General features: G+C 41.5%; 1 protein-coding gene across 6 annotated transcripts in view; it reads right to left on the bottom strand.

Moving 5' to 3' along the window:
• CENPO (centromere protein O) overlaps window positions 1–15,940 on the bottom strand; it is a 28,952-nt gene that overhangs the window by 11,352 nt on the left and 1,660 nt on the right. For all 6 annotated transcript variants that reach the window (NR_136183.2, NR_136182.2, NR_136184.2 and 3 more), the window contains one exon: window positions 11,181–11,350. Coding sequence is in view for 3 of the 6 variants with exons in the window: in NM_024322.4 (NP_077298.1) it covers window positions 11,181–11,350 (170 nt within the window). In the remaining 3 variants the exon portion in view is untranslated. The remainder of the gene's footprint in view (window positions 1–11,180; window positions 11,351–15,940) is intronic.

Genomic DNA, 15,940 nt, shown 5'->3' with positions numbered 1-15,940 from the left:
TTGCAGTGAGCTGAGATCTCGCCACTGCACTCCAGCCTGGGCGACAGAGTGAGACTCTGTCTCAAAAAAAAAATAACAATAATAAATAATAACAATAGACAACAATTGTCAAGATGGATTAAAAATATCTAGCTCTATGCTATTTACAAGAAGAATACCTTAAACGTAAGGTCATTTAAAGATTGGAAGCAGAAAGACAGAAAAAACTTACCCTGCAGGCCGGGTGCGGTGGTTCACACCTGTAATCCCAGCACTGTGGGAGGCCGAGGTGGGCAGATCACCTGAGGTCAGGAGTTCGAGACCAGCCTGGCCAACGTGGTGAAACCCCACCTCTACTAAAAATACAAAAATTAGCTGAGCATGGTGGCGAGCACCTCTAGTCCCAGCTACTTGGGAGGCTGAGGCACGAGAATTGCTTGAACCCGGGAGGCAGAGGTTCCAGTGAGCCAAGATGGCACCATTGCACTCCAGCCTGGGCGACAAGAGCAAAACTCCATCTCAAAAAAAAAAAAAAAAAAAACCTTAACCTGCAAACGTTAACCAAAAAAGTTACTATTGTACTAGGATTCATCAAAGTAAACTTTTTTTTAATTTTTAATTTTGTTTTAAAGATGAGGGGCTCTCACTATGCTGCCCAGGCTGATCTCAAACTCCTAGGCTCAAGAGATCCTCTCACCCTAGTCTCACAAACGGCTGGGATTACAGGCGTGAGCCACCACACCCGGCCAATATCAAAATAGATTTTAAGGCAAGAAGTTTAATTAAAATTAAAAGGAATATTTCATAATAAAAAAAAGTCAACTAAATCAGGAAGATACAGTAGTCCTAAATTTGTTGCCACCCAATATATATAGAAACATAGAATAAAAGGGGAAAAATTCATCTACAATCACAGTGGGAGATTTTAAAAAATCTATTTCAGTAATAAAACAAGTAGACAAGTAAATCAATAAGAATGTAAGTTTTTTTTTTTTTTTGAGACATAGTTTCACTCTGTTGCCCAGGCTGGAGTAGAGTGACATGATCTCGGCTCACTGTAACCCCCGCCTCCCAGGTTCAAGTGATTCTCCTGCCTCAGCCTCCCAACTAGCTGGGATTACAGGTATGTGCCACCACACTCAGCTAAGGATGTAAGATATTTAAACAACATGATGAACACACTAGGCCTATTTGATATATGTAGAATATAAGAGCCAACAAATGCAAAGTCCACATTTAATGCACATGGAATATTTACAAAAACTGACCACATGCTGAGTCATTCACTGACCATATGGAATTAAGCTATAAATTAGTAACTTAAAAAAAAAACCAAATACTCAAATTTTTGGAAATTAATTGGTACACTTATAAAACAAACCCACGGGCCAAAGAAGATAACACAATGGAAATTAACAATATTTGAATTGAAATGATAATGAAAATATATCAAAACTTGTGGGGTATAAAAGGAAAAAACAATACAAAAAACAAAAAAGAAAAAATACAAACAAAAAAAGAAAAAGAAAAAGAAAAACTTGTGGGACACATTTAAACCTGTGGTTAGAGGGAAAATTTTTAACTTTAAATGTATTTAAGAGAAAAGAAGACTAAAAAATATCAATAAAGTATTCATCTCAAGAAGCTAAAGGAACAACTAAAATTCAGAGAGTAATGGAAGAAAATAATAATGAGCAGAAATCAATGAAAATACAAAACAAATGAACGAGAGAAAATCAGCAAAGCCAAAAGTTGGTTCTTTGAAAAAAGGCACAAAAGTGATAAAACACACCAAGACTGATCGAGGAGACAGAAATGGAGTGAAAGCAAGCACAAATGACCAATATCAGAATAAAAAATGAGACATCATCACTGATCCATCCTAGTCACAAGACAGTAGGTTGTTTTAAAAAAATTTCAAACTTTAAATGTGAGAGTTTACATAAAATGAACAAACTGCAAAATGCAACATACCAAAAGTGACCCAAGAAAAAACAGGAAATCTGAACAGCTTATGCTGATCAAAGAAATTGGATCGGAAATTAAAACCTTCCCACAGAGAAGGCCCAAAGAGCTTCACCGGGGAATTCCTCATCAAAATGTAAGAAAAAATAACACCAATTTTATCTAAAGTCTTTCAAAGAATAGAAAAAAAAAAAAGGAAAATGTCTCAACCTGCTTTCTGAGAGCAACATAAAACTTGATGCCAAAACCTGACAAAGTTACCACAAAAAAATAATAGGGCAGTCTCTCTCATGAATTTAGATGCAAAAGTTCTAATAACTAATATCAGCAAGTCAGATTTAGCATTATATTAAAAAGATGATACATCAAACCAAATTAGGTTTACTATGAGAATGTGAGGGCAATTTATCATTTAAACAGCAATCAATATATACCACAAATTAATAAAATAAGGGAGAAAACATATGATTCCCTTAATATATGCAGTAAAAATATTTGAGAAAATTTAATATCATAATATCATGATTAAAACTCTTCACAAACTATAAATAAAAGAGCCAGGTGGCTCTTTTATTACCTGGCCAGGCACGGCGGCTCACGCCTGTAATCCCAGCACTTTGGGAGGCTGAGGCGGGTGGATAACCTGAGGTCAGGAGTTCGAGACTAGCCTGGCCAACAATAGAGAAACCCCGTCTCTACTAAAAATACAAAAATTAGCTGGGCGCATGCCTGTAATCCCAGCTACTCGGGAGGCTGAGGCAGAAGAATCTCTTGAACCCAGGAGGTGGAGGGTGCCGGATCGTGCCACTGCACTCCTGCCTGGGCAACAAAGTGAGACTCTGTCTCAAAAACAAAAAAAATAAAAAAAATAAAATACCTGGAAAAGATCAGCATGATCTTAAGTTAGACAAAGATTTATTAAACAAGAAACAAGGGCAATAAGAATAAAGTTTAATTACTAAATCAAACTTCATTAAAACAAAGATTTTCATCACAAGACACCATTAGAGAGTGAAAATACAAGCCACAGTCTAAGGAAGACTCTAATACAGATACCCAAAAAAGAACTCACTCAAAATATGTAAAGATTTCTACAATTTAATAGATGGACAACCTAATAAAAATTTCACAAAGGCCTTGAATAAAGCACACTTTGCAACAGAAGATTTTCAAATGTTCAATACAGGGATTCACCATCACTGGTTATGAAGCAAATGCAAATTCAATCCAAAATGACATATTATTACACTCCCACCAGAATGACAAATTTTTAAAACTGACAATAGCAAGTATTGGTAAAAATGCAGGACAATGGAATTTAACACTATTGCTGGGAATGTAAAACTGGTACAATCACTTTCAAAAACTGCCAGAATTTACTAAACCTAACATGCATATCCTATGAACCAACAATTCTACTAGGCATATACCCAATATATAAGTGTATATTTTTATATCAAAGGACAGAAACACCCAAAATGTTAACAGCAGCAGCATTCATAATTGTCCCAAAGTGAAATAACCCCAATAACCCAAATGTCATCACAGTAGAATGGGTAAATAAATGTAGTATACTCATAAAATAGAATTGCTATTCAGCAATAAAAAAAATGAGCACTATAAGCAGAGTGTAGGTGAATCTCACAGTCAGAACATTCAGCAAAAGAAGCCAGACATAAGAGTTTGTACTTTTTAAGCTATAAATTAGCTTTTTAACATTTATATAAAGTTCAAAATCAGGTAAAACCTATGTATGGTGACAGAAATCAGAATAGTGGGTACCTTAAGAGAAGACTTAAGAGAAGACTAGGAAGAGGCAAACTGGAGGCTTCTGGGTGTTGGTAATGCTCTATACTTTAATCTCTGTCATAGTGCACTTCATATATATTACACTTTAATTAAAAAAAAAGAACGGAAGAAGGGAGGAAGGAAGAGAGGTACAGGTGGAAAAGGAAGAGGGGGAGGAAGGCTGATATCCAATGGGCAATGAAGGGTTGTTGACGGCTTTTGAGCAGAGCAATGGTGCGGTGTTTCATGAAGCATTTTCTTGGCTGTGCAGGATTTATTGGAAAAGCAGAAATACTAGAAGATGCACCAACTGGCAGACTACTGTCATAATCCTGATATCCAAATCACCTGATATTTACTCCATATATGACTAATATTTGAGCTGTGGCAATGGAGGAAGGACAAAGGCAATATAAAAGAAAAATCTGATAGGTCTTGCTGACTGAACCTAGGCTAGAGAGAAAACTGAAAAAAGGGAAGGGTCAAGCTCCCTAGGAGGTTGAGTCTGGATGACAGATGTCAAAAATGACACAAGTATCAACAACTCAAGGCAGGCCACTTTAAGTATTGGTAAAAATGCAAAACAAGGGAAATCTTATACAACTATTGCTGGGAATGTAAAACTAGTACAATCACTTTCAAAAACTGGCAGTATTTACTAAACCGAATATGCATATCCTATGACTCAGCAATTCTACCAGGCATATACCCAATATGTATATGATTGAGGTAACAAACTTAGGTGTTTATTAGGGCAGGTTAAGAACCTGTCAGGAAGAACTTGCCTGGCTTACCAGTAGTGCCTGACAAATGTTAGGTGAGGGGGTGGAGCCAAGATGGCCGAATAGGAACAGCCCCAGTCTACAGCTCCCAGCGTGAGCAACGCAGAAGACGGGTGATTTCCGCATTTCCAACTGAGGTACCAGGTTCATCTCTCTGGGAAGTGTCGGACCGTGGGTGCAGGACAGTGGTTGCAGCACACCGAGTGTGAGCCAAAGCAGGGCGAGGCATCGCCTCACCCAGGAAGCGCAAGGGGTCAGGGAGTTCCCTTTCCTAGTCAAAGAAAGGGGTGACAGACGGCACCTGGAAAATCGGGTCACTCCCACCCCAATACTGCGCTTTTCCAACGGTCTTAGCAAACGGCACACCAGGAGATTATATCCCGCGCCTGGCTCAGAGGGTCCTACGCCCACAGAGCCTGCTCATTGCTAGCACAACAGGCTGAGATCAAACTGCAAGGCAGCAGCAAGGCTGGGGGAGGGGCGCCCGCCCTTGCCGAGGCTTGGATAGGTAAACAAAGCAGCCTGGAAGCTCGAACTGGGTGGAGCCCACTGCAGCTCAAGGAGGCCTGCCTGCCTCTGTAGACTCCACCTCTGGGGGCAGGGCATAGCAAAACAAAAGGCAGCAGAAAACTCTGCAGACTTAAATGTCCCTGTCTGATAGTTTGAAGAGAGTAGTGGTTCTCCCAGCACGCAGCTGGAGGTCTGAGAACAGACAGACTGCCTCCTCAAGTGGGTCCCTGACCCCCGAGTAGCCTAACTGGGAGGCATCCCCCAGTAGAGGCAGACTGACACCTCACACAGCTGGGTACTCCTCTGAGACAAAACTTCCAGAGGAACGATCAGGCAGCAGCATTTGCTGTTCACCAACATTCGCTGCTCTGCAACCTCCGCTGCTGATACCCAGGCAAACAGCGTCTGGAGTGGACCTCCAGCAAAATCCAACAGACCTGCAGCTGAGGGTCCCGACTGTTAGAAGGAAAACTAACAAACAGAAAGGACATCCACACCAAAACCCCATCTGTACGTCACTATCATCAAAGACCAAAGGTAGATAAAACCACAAAGATGGGGAAAAAACAGAGCAGAAAAACTGGAAACTCTAAAAATCAGAGCGCCTCTCCTCCTCCAAAGGAACGCAGCTCCTCACCAGCAATGGAACAAAGCTGGACGGAGAATGACTTTGACGAGTTGAGAGAAGACAGCTTCAGACGATCAAACTACTCCGAGCTACAGGAGGAAGTTCGAACCCATGGCAAAGAAGTTAAAAACCTTGAAAAAAATTACACGAATGGCTAACTAGAATAACCAATGCAGAGAAGTCCTTAAAGGACCTGATGGAGCTGAAAACCATGGCGTGAGACCCACGTGACGAATGCACAAGCCTCAGTAGCCGATTCGATCAACTGGAAGAAAGGGCATCAGTGATGGAAGATGAAATGAATGAAATGAAGCAAGAAGAGAAGTTTAGAGAAAAAAGAATAAAAAGAAACGAACAAAGCCTCCAAGAAATATGGGACTATGTGAAAAGACCAAATCTACGTCTGATAGGTGTACCTGAAAGTGATGGGGAGAATGGAACCAAGTTGGAAAACACTCTGCAGGATATTATCCAGGAGAACTTCCCCAAACTAGCAAGGCAGGCCAATATTCATATTCAGGAACTACAGAGAACGCCACAAAGATACTCCTTGAGAAGAGCAACCCCAAGACACATAATTGTCAGATTCACCAAAGTTGAAATGAAGGAAAAAATGTAAGGGCAGCCAGAGAGAAAGGTCGGGCTACCCACAAAGGGAAGCCCATCAGACTAACAGCTGATCTCTCGGCACAAACTCTACAAGTCAGAAGAGAGTGGGGGCCAATGTTCAACATTCTTAAAGAAAAGAATTCTCATCCCAGAATTTCATATCCAGCCAAACTAAGCTTCATAAGTGAAGGAGAAATAAAATCCTTTACAGACAAGCAAATGCTGAGAGATTTTGTCACCACCAGGCCTGCCCTAAAAGAGCTCCTGAAGGAAGCACTAAACGTGGAAAGGAACAACCGGTACCAGCCACTGCAAAAACATGCCAAATTGTAAAGACCAGCAATGCTATGAAGAAACTGCATGAATTAATGGGCAAAATAACCAGCTAACATCATAATGACAGGATCAAATTCACACATAACAATATTAACCTTAAATGTAAATAGACTAAATGCTCCAATTAAAAGACACAGACTGGCAAACTGGATAGTCAAGACCCATCAGTGTGCTGTATTCAGGAGACCCATCTCATGTGCAGAGACACACTTAGGCTCAAAATAAAGGGATGGAGGAAGATCTACCAAGCAAATGGAAAACAAAAAAAAAGCAGGGGTTGCAATCCTAGTCTCTGATAAAACAGACTTTCAACCAACAAAGATCAAAAGAGACAAAGAAGACCATTACATAATGGTAAAGGGATCAATTCAACACGAAGAGCTAACTATCCTAAATATATATGCACCCAATACAGGAGCACCCAGACTCATAAAGCAAGTCCTTAGAGACCTACAAAGAGACTTAGACTCCCACACAGTAATAATGGGAGACTTTAACACCCCACCATCAACATTAGACAGATCAACGAGACAGAAAGTTAACAAGGATATCCAGGAACTGAACTCAGCTCTGCACCAAGCGGACCTAATAGACATCTACAGAACTCTCCACCCCAAATCAACAGAATATACATTTTTTTCAGCACCACACCACACCTATTCCAAAATTGACCACATAGTTGGAAGTAAAACACTCCTCAGCAAATGTAAAAGAACAGAAATTATAACAAACTGTCTCTCAGACGACAGTGCAATCAAACTACAACTCAGGATTAAGAAATTCATTCAAAACCACTCAACTACATGGAAACTGAACAACCTGTTCCTGAATGACTACTGGGTACATAACGAAATGAAGGCAGAAATAAAGATGTTCTTTGAAACCAACGAGAACAAAGACACAACATACCAGAATCTTTGGGACACATTCAAAGCAGTGTGTAGACGGAAATTTATAGCACTAAATGCCTACAAGAGAAAGCAGGAAAGATCTAAAATTGACACCCTAACATCACAATTAAAAGAACTAGAGAAGCAAAAGCAAACACATTCAAAAGCTAGCAGAAGGCAAGAAATAACTAAGATCAGAGCAGAACTGAAGGAAATAGAGACACAAAAAACCCTTCAAAAAATCAATGAATCCAGGAGCTGGTTTTTTGAAAAGATCAACAAAATTGATAGACCGCTAGCAAGACTAATAAAGAAGAAAAGAGAGAAGAATCAAGTAGACGCAATAAAAAATGATAAAAGGGATATCACCACCGATCCCACAGAAATACAAACTACCATCAGAGAATACTATAAACACCTCTACGCAAATAAACTAGAAAATCTAGAAGAAATGGATAAATTCCTGGACACATACATTCTCCCAAGACTAAACCAGGAAGAAGTTGAACCTCTGAATAGACCAATAACAGGCTCTGAAATTGAGGCAATAATTAATAGCCTACCAACCAAAAAAAGTCCAAGACCAGATAGATTCACAGCCGAATTCTACCAGAGGTACAAGGAGGAGCTGGTACCATTCCTTCTGAAACTATTCCAATCAATAGAAAAAGAGGGAATCCTCCCTAACTCATTTTATGAGGCCAGCATCATCCTGATACCAAAGCCTGGCAGAGACACAACCAAAAAAGAGAATTTTAGACCAATATCCCTGATGAACGTCGATGCAAAAATCCTCAATAAAATACTGGCAACCCAAATCCAGCAGCACATCAAAAAGCTTATCCACCATGATCAAGTGGGCTTCATCCCTGGGATGCAAGGCTGGTTCAACATATGCAAATCAATAAACGTAATCCAGCATATAAACAGAACCAAAGACAAAAACCACATGATTATCTCGATAGATGCAGAAAAGGCCTTTGACAAAATTCAACAACGCTTCATGCTAAAAACTCTCAATAAATTAGTTATTGATGGGACGTATCTCAAAATAATAAGAGCTATCTATGACAAACCCACAGCCAATATCACACTGAATGGGCAAAAACTGGAAGCATTCCCTTTGAAAACTGGCACAAGACAGGGATGCCCTCTCTCACCACTCCTATTCAACATAGTGTTGGAAGTTCTGGCCAGGGCAATGAGGCAGGAGAAGGAAATAAAGGGTATTCAATTAGGAAAAGAGGAAGTCAAATTGTCCCTGTTTGCAGATGACATGATTGTATATCTAGAAAACCCCATTGTCTCAGCCCAAAATCTCCTTAAGCTGATAGGCAACTTCAGCAAAGTCTCAGGATACAAAATCAATGTGCAAAAATCACAAGCATTCTTATACACCAATAACAGACAAACAGAGAGCCAAATCATGAGTGAACTCCCACTCACAATTGCTACAAAGAGAATAAAATACCCAGGAATCCAACTTACAAGGGATGTGAAGGACCTCTTCAAGGAGAACTACAAACCACTAATCAACGAAATAAAAGAGGACACAAACAAATGGGAGAACATTCCATGCTCATGGATAGGAAGAATCAATATTGTGAAAATGGCCATACTGCCCAAGCTAATTTATGGATTCAATGCCATCCCCATCAAGCTACCAATGACTTTCTTCACAGAATTGGAAAAAACTACTTTAAAATTCATATGGAACCAAAAAAGAGCCCCCATTGCCAAGACAATCCCATGCCAAAAGAACAAAGCTGGAGGCATCACCCTACCTGACTTCAAACTATACTACAAGGCTACAGTAACCAAAACAGCATGGTACTGGTACCAAAACAGAGATATAGACCAATGGAACAGAACAGAAGCCTCAGAAATAATGCCACATATCTACAACTATCTGATCTTTGACAAACCTGACAAAAACAAGAAATGGGGAAGGATTCCCTATTTAATAAATGGTGCTGGGAAAACTGGCTAGCCATATGTAGAAAGCTGAAACTGGATCCCTTCCTTACACCTTATACAAAAATTAATTCAAGATGGATTAAAGACTTAAAAGTTAGACCTAAAACCATACAAATCCTAGAAGAAAACCTAGGCAATACCATTCAGGACATAGGCATGGGCAAGGACTTCATGTCTAAAACACCAAAAGCAATGGCAACAAAAGCCAAAATTGACAAACGGGATCTAATTAAACTAAAGAGCTTCTGCACAGCAAAAGAAACTACCATCAGAGTGAACAGGCAACCTACAGAATGGGAGAAAATTTTTCCAATCTACTCATCTGACAAAGGGCTAATATCCAGAATCTACAATGAACTCAAACAAATGTACAAGAAAAAAACAAACAACCCCATCAAAAAGTGGGCAAAGGACATGAACAGACACTTCTCAAAAGAAGACATTTCTGCAGCCAAAAGACACATGAAAAAATGCTCATCATCACTGGCCATCAGAGACATGCAAATCAAAGCCACAATGAGATACCATCTCATACCAGTTAGAATGGCGATCATTAAAAAGTCAGGAAACAACAGGTGCTGGAGAGGCTGTGGAGAAATAGGAACACTTTTACACTGTTGGTGGGACTGTAAACTAGTTCCACCATTGTGGAAGTCAGTGTGGCGATTCCTCAGGGATCTAGAACTAGAAATACCATTTGACCCAGCCATCCCATTACTGGGTATATATCCAAAGGATTATAAAACATGCTGCTATAAAGACACATGCACATGTATGTTTACTGCGGCACTATTCACAATAGCAAAGACTTGGAACCAACCCAAATGTCCTACAATGATAGACTGGATTAAGAAAATGTGGCACATATACACCATGGAATATTACGCAGCCATAAAAAAGGATGAGTTCACATCCTTTGTGGGGACATGGATGAAGCTGGAAACCATCATTCTCAGCAAACTATCGCAAGGACAAAAAACCAAACACCGCATGTTCTCACTCATAGGTGGGAATTGAACACTGAGAACACATGGACACAGGAAGGGGAACATCACACACCGGGGCCTGTTGTGGGGTGGGGGGAGGGGGGAGGGATAGCATTAGGAGATACACCTAATGTTAAATGAAGAGTTAATGGGCGCAGCACACCAACATGGCACATGTATACATATGTAACAAACCTACACGTTGTGCGCATGTACCCTAAAACTTAAAGTATAATAAAAAAATTAAAAAATGTTAGGTGATATTCACTGTAACTCTACCGGATTTTTGTTTTTTTGAGACGGAGTCTCACTCTGTTTCCCAGGCTGGAGTGCAGTGGCTCGATCTCAGCTCACTGCAACCTCCGCCTCCCAGGTGCAATTCGTGCCTCAGCCTCCTGAGTAGCTGGGATTATAGGCGCCTGCCTCCATGCCTGGCTAATTTTTGTATTTCTGGTAGAGATGGGGTTTCACCATGTTGGCCAGGCTGGTCTCAAACGCCTGACCACAGGCGATAGGCCTGCCTCGCCTTTCAAAGTGCTGGGATTACAGGCATGAGCCACCGTGCCTGGCCAAACTCTACAGGTTTGATCATTTGAGGGATCAAGGACTGCAATCAATCCAGTAAGATCACAAGTAAAACACATTATAAAAAATGGCCAATTCACCAATTCCCAAATCACGTTTGTTCATTATACTCTAAAGGAACTGCTGATACCACCCTTCTACTCACGCTGGCTCGCCGGTGCCGCACCACAGCCCTCAGCTCATCTCGCAGACGCCTTAGTTTATGAATCTTGGTTCCAAGAGCACCTTCCTGGGCCTGCACGCTCTGCAGCTCTTCAGACTGTTTACGGGATCTGCTCACTTGGGTCTCTAGCCTTTCCAAGTGAGCTAAAACACCTAAGGAGAGTAAAAGGAGAATTTTACAAGAAGCTGAGGATTTCTCACTGTGGCAACAGGAAGCATCTCAGGGAAGAACAGGTGACTCTTTTTTTTTTTTTACCAGAACTTTGTGGCCAGCTGAATTGTTAGATATCTGTCAATTTATAAAACCAGGGGAGCTAACAATTGAAATCAAAGATCATCAACCTCCTAGGTTGGAGAGTGATGTAAAACAGGATCCTCCTCAAAGACAGCCCGAGAGAGGATATGAACTATCACACGCTGATTAGGCAGCAGTGTCTTATCTAGGTCTGCAGTTTATCGCAAATCCACATCTCTAGTGTGTAAAGGATGATTCTCTAGCTTTACCACAGGCCGGAGAGAAGCCCTCTCACAGCCGAGGGCGGTGGCTCACACTTGTAATCTTAGCACTCTGGGGGGCCAAGGCGGGTGGATCACCTGAGGTCAGGAGTTCGAGACCAGCCTGGCCAACATGGCAAAACCCCATCTTTACTAAAAATACAAAAAATTAGCCGGGCATGGTGGCGCATGCCTGTAATCCCAGCTACTCGGGAGGCTGAGGCAGAATTGTTTGAATCCAGGAGGCGGAGGTTGCAGTGAGCCAAGATCACTGCACTCCATTGGAGTGCCATTGCACTCCAGCCTGGGGGACAGAGCAAGACTGTCTCCAAAAAAAAAAAAAAAAAAAAAAAAAAAGGAAGCCCCAGACTTTATTTAATCGAGCTTCTTAAGTACACCCAGCATCTATTTTGTAGGGTTCATATGGATGAACATATATGAAAACCTTAATCTTCTCTCCTTGCCTTGGGACGGAATCCAAAAACTTATCTCATTCACCTATCCAATTAAGACTAGAAACCTCTTATGGTTTTTATGGCTAATAAAACCATTAAAAAAAAGTATGTGAGATCGGGCCGGGTACGGTGGCTCACGCCTGTAATCCCAGCACTTTGGGAGGCCGAGGCGGGTGGATCACGAGGTCGGGACATCAAGACCATCCTGGCTAACACAGTGAAACCCCGTCTCTACCAAAAACACAAAAAATTAGCCGGGTGTGGTGGCGGGCACCTGTAGTCCCAGCTACTCAGGAGGCTGAGGCAGAAGAATGGCGTGAACCCAGGAGGCGGAGCTTGCAGTGAGCCAAGATCGTGCCACTGCACTCCAGCCTAGGTGACAGACTCCGTCTCAAAAAAAAAAAATTTGTGTGAGATCAAATAGAAACAGACACGCACTATATGCAGAATTATCCTATTTTACTCATTGAGGCCTATCCCCTTGCTTTCTCAGAAACCCTAAATGATCAGTTACCCTTTTCTCTGCTGTGTTCATTTCCCTTCCACACACGCTCAAGTCTCAACTGTCTTCAAACACACACTCATATATATATATATATATACACACACATACACACACACACAATTTCATACACTCACAGGCCTATTCTTGCCCACAAATCCCCTTCAGCTACTATCTCCCTTTTCTCCCCTTTCCTTTCCAGGAAAACTACTTAAAAGAGTTGTCCATGCAAGTTGAGTATCCGAACGTTTTGGGACTAGAGGTGTTTCAGATTTCGGAATTGGGAGTATTTGCATTACACTTACTGGCTGAACATCCCATATCTGAAAATCCAAAACTGGAAATAAGCATTTCCTTTGACCATCATGTCAGTGCTCAAAAAGCTTCAGATTTTGGAGTATTTCAGATTTTGGATCTTCAGTGCTCAACTTGTACTCACTTTCTCCATTTTCTTGCCTGTGACTCATACCTCAACCCACTTGAAACTCACTTCTGTTCCCATTATTTTACAAAACCACTCTAAGATCAACAGTGATATCCATGTTGCTGAACCCAAAGGACATTTTTCAAGCTCCCTTATCTCACCTCCCAGCACTATATGCTCCTACTGATCACCACCTTCACGAAACCCTCTTTTCCTCTGAATCTTAGCATAGCGGCCTGTTGGTATGCCTTGTTCAACAGATGTTTATTAAGCATCTATTTTGTGCCAAGTACTATTTCAGGCACTGGGAACATAGTGATGAACAACAGACAACCTGTTTTTGTGACACTTACATTTTACCTCTCTGACCCCACTTTCTGCTTTGAAGGCTCCTACTCTCCTCCTTGACCATTAAATGCTGAAATTTTCCAGAGCTCAGTCCTAAGACCTCTTCTTTCCAGAAGAAATCTCATCAGTACCCACAGCCTTAATGGCCATACATGTCGATGCCACACAAATATGTATCTCTAGCTTATACCTCTCTCCTGCTTCTTGAGAAAGCAGAATATCCACCTGCCTTCTCAGTGTATCTACTTGGAAGACTTACAGGAACCTGACAATCAACATGTCCAAGACTGAATTCATCATCTCCCCTTCTAAACCCCTCCATGACTGGAACCATTATCCATCTATAGCTGTGTAAACCAGTACTTTCTTCCTCACACCTTCTCCCTGACCCAGTCCCAATCCATTACCAGATCCTATTGAATATACATTCCTAGTATCTCTAAAATATTTCCATTTTCCCCATCTGCAATGCCACCATTGTAGTTCAAGCTACTACCATTTCTGGCCTATTACAAGTTTCCTAGGTGGCCCATACACTGAAGCCATATTTCAAAATCTAAACTGGATCGTGTCATCCAGCTGGCTAAAGCCTTTCGATGACTTCACACTGCCTACGAGGCCTACTGGCCTCTGGATCTCTCTTACCCTCATCAGTATCATGCTGCTCCTTCTCTAGGCATTTCCACACAGGCCTCCTCTCAGGCTCTCAAACCCGCCCAGCGTCTTTACTGACCTGATCCCCCCACCCCCAACACACACACCAAAGGCTCTTCCACAGCCGCCCCTTATCCACCTTCACCTGCAGCTACTCTAGCTCGTTAGCACTCAATGCAAGCAGCATTTCCTCAGGGAAACCTTTGTAGCACCTTCAGAACAAGGTCAGGTGCCAGCTCATAAGCTCTCAAAGATCCTTCTGAGACAATACTATAGTTTTTTTGTTTTTGTTTTTTAAATAAAGAGATGGGGTCTCACTATGTTTCCCAGGCTGGTCTCAAACTCCTAAGCTCAAGCGATCCTCCCACCTCGGCTTCCCAAAGTGCTAGGATTACAGGCGTGAGCCACCGCACCCGGCCACTATAGTTTTAATTGTATATTCATTAGTGTGATTATTTGATTTGCTTATCTTTTCCACTGAACCTTAAAGTTCCAAAATCAGGGACCGTGTGCATTTGTGTTCACCCATGGATCCCTTAACCCTAGCACAAAGTGTTTACACATGGTAAACACTCCGGAAATGGTTATTTTTTTCTGAGACGAAATCTCACTCTGTTGCCCAAGCTGGAGTGCAGTGGCGCGATCTCAGCTCACTGCAACCTCTACCTCCCAGGTTCAAGCAATTCTCCTGCTTCAGCCTCCCAATTAGCTGGGACTACAGGCATGCACCACGATGCCCGGCTAATTTTTGTATTTTTAGTAGAGATGGGGTTTCACTATGTTAGCCAGACTGGTCTTGAACTCCTGACCTTGTGATCCACCCGCTTTGGCCTCCCAAAGTGCTGGGATTACAGGTGTGAGCCACCGCGCCCGGCCAACACTCCGGAAATGTTTACCGAAACACGGACAACCAGGCATGACACTCTTGGAGATTACATTCACTTGGCTCATGTCCACAGAAAAACCCACATTACCGCAATAATAATCGTGAGAAACCAAAATTCTAATTAAATAAATTAGTCCTAATAATTAGCACGTGATTAACTGCTTTATTCACCAATCTCTATTTATCCAACAACTATGCATTGAGAATTTACTATGGACCAAGGACCGTGCTGGAAGTTATTCATACTGTGGTGGCAAAACGAAGTCCCTGTCCTCACGGAGCTTACAAAAATTAATGTCCAACCAGGAGGTGATCTGAAAAGCACGCACACATAGAATAATTTAGGGTGGTAGAGGAGACGCCTCACCAAATTCTACTTTATGGAAATTCTATATTACTAAAACAGTAGATATCAATATTCCCAAAGTTTCTGAGATAAGTAGGTGTTCAAAACAGTATCATGCTGCTCCTTCTCTAGGCACTTCCACACAGCCCTCTTCTCAGGCTCTCAAACCTGCCCAGCTTCTTTACCGACCTGATTCCCTCTACACCAAGGGGGTAGCGTTGTTGTTTAGCGTTGCTACTACAGAAAAGAGGGAGTGTATCTGCTGGGCCTGCTTTACCTTGGAAGTTATGATTGCATCTCATCCTAGCCAGTCAGCTTTGTCCCAAAAAAAGTCAAAATCCCTGCCTATTTGAATAAATCATCTGGTTGCAACTACAACTCCATGTCCTTCCTTCTCAAATGAGTGGGGAGAATTCAAATAATAAGCAAAAAACTGAAATCAAACAAGCAGAGGGATAAAACCAGTATGGGTAACAGCTAAGTGTTTAAATATTGTTTTGGGTAGAGAATAAGGAGACTGGTCTAAGTCTCTTGATAATCCAAAACTTCCACCTCATCACTTACTTTAACAGAAATGAAATAAGGCCTGGACTAGAGAACAGGTTACTCCTGAGTGTAGCATGTTTCCACTAC

This window comes from Homo sapiens, chromosome 2 (assembly GCF_000001405.40).
Source record: "Homo sapiens chromosome 2, GRCh38.p14 Primary Assembly".
NCBI lineage: Eukaryota > Metazoa > Chordata > Mammalia > Primates > Hominidae > Homo > Homo sapiens.
Note: the sequence above shows the minus strand (reverse complement) of the source record. Positions and strands in the feature narration are given on the sequence as shown.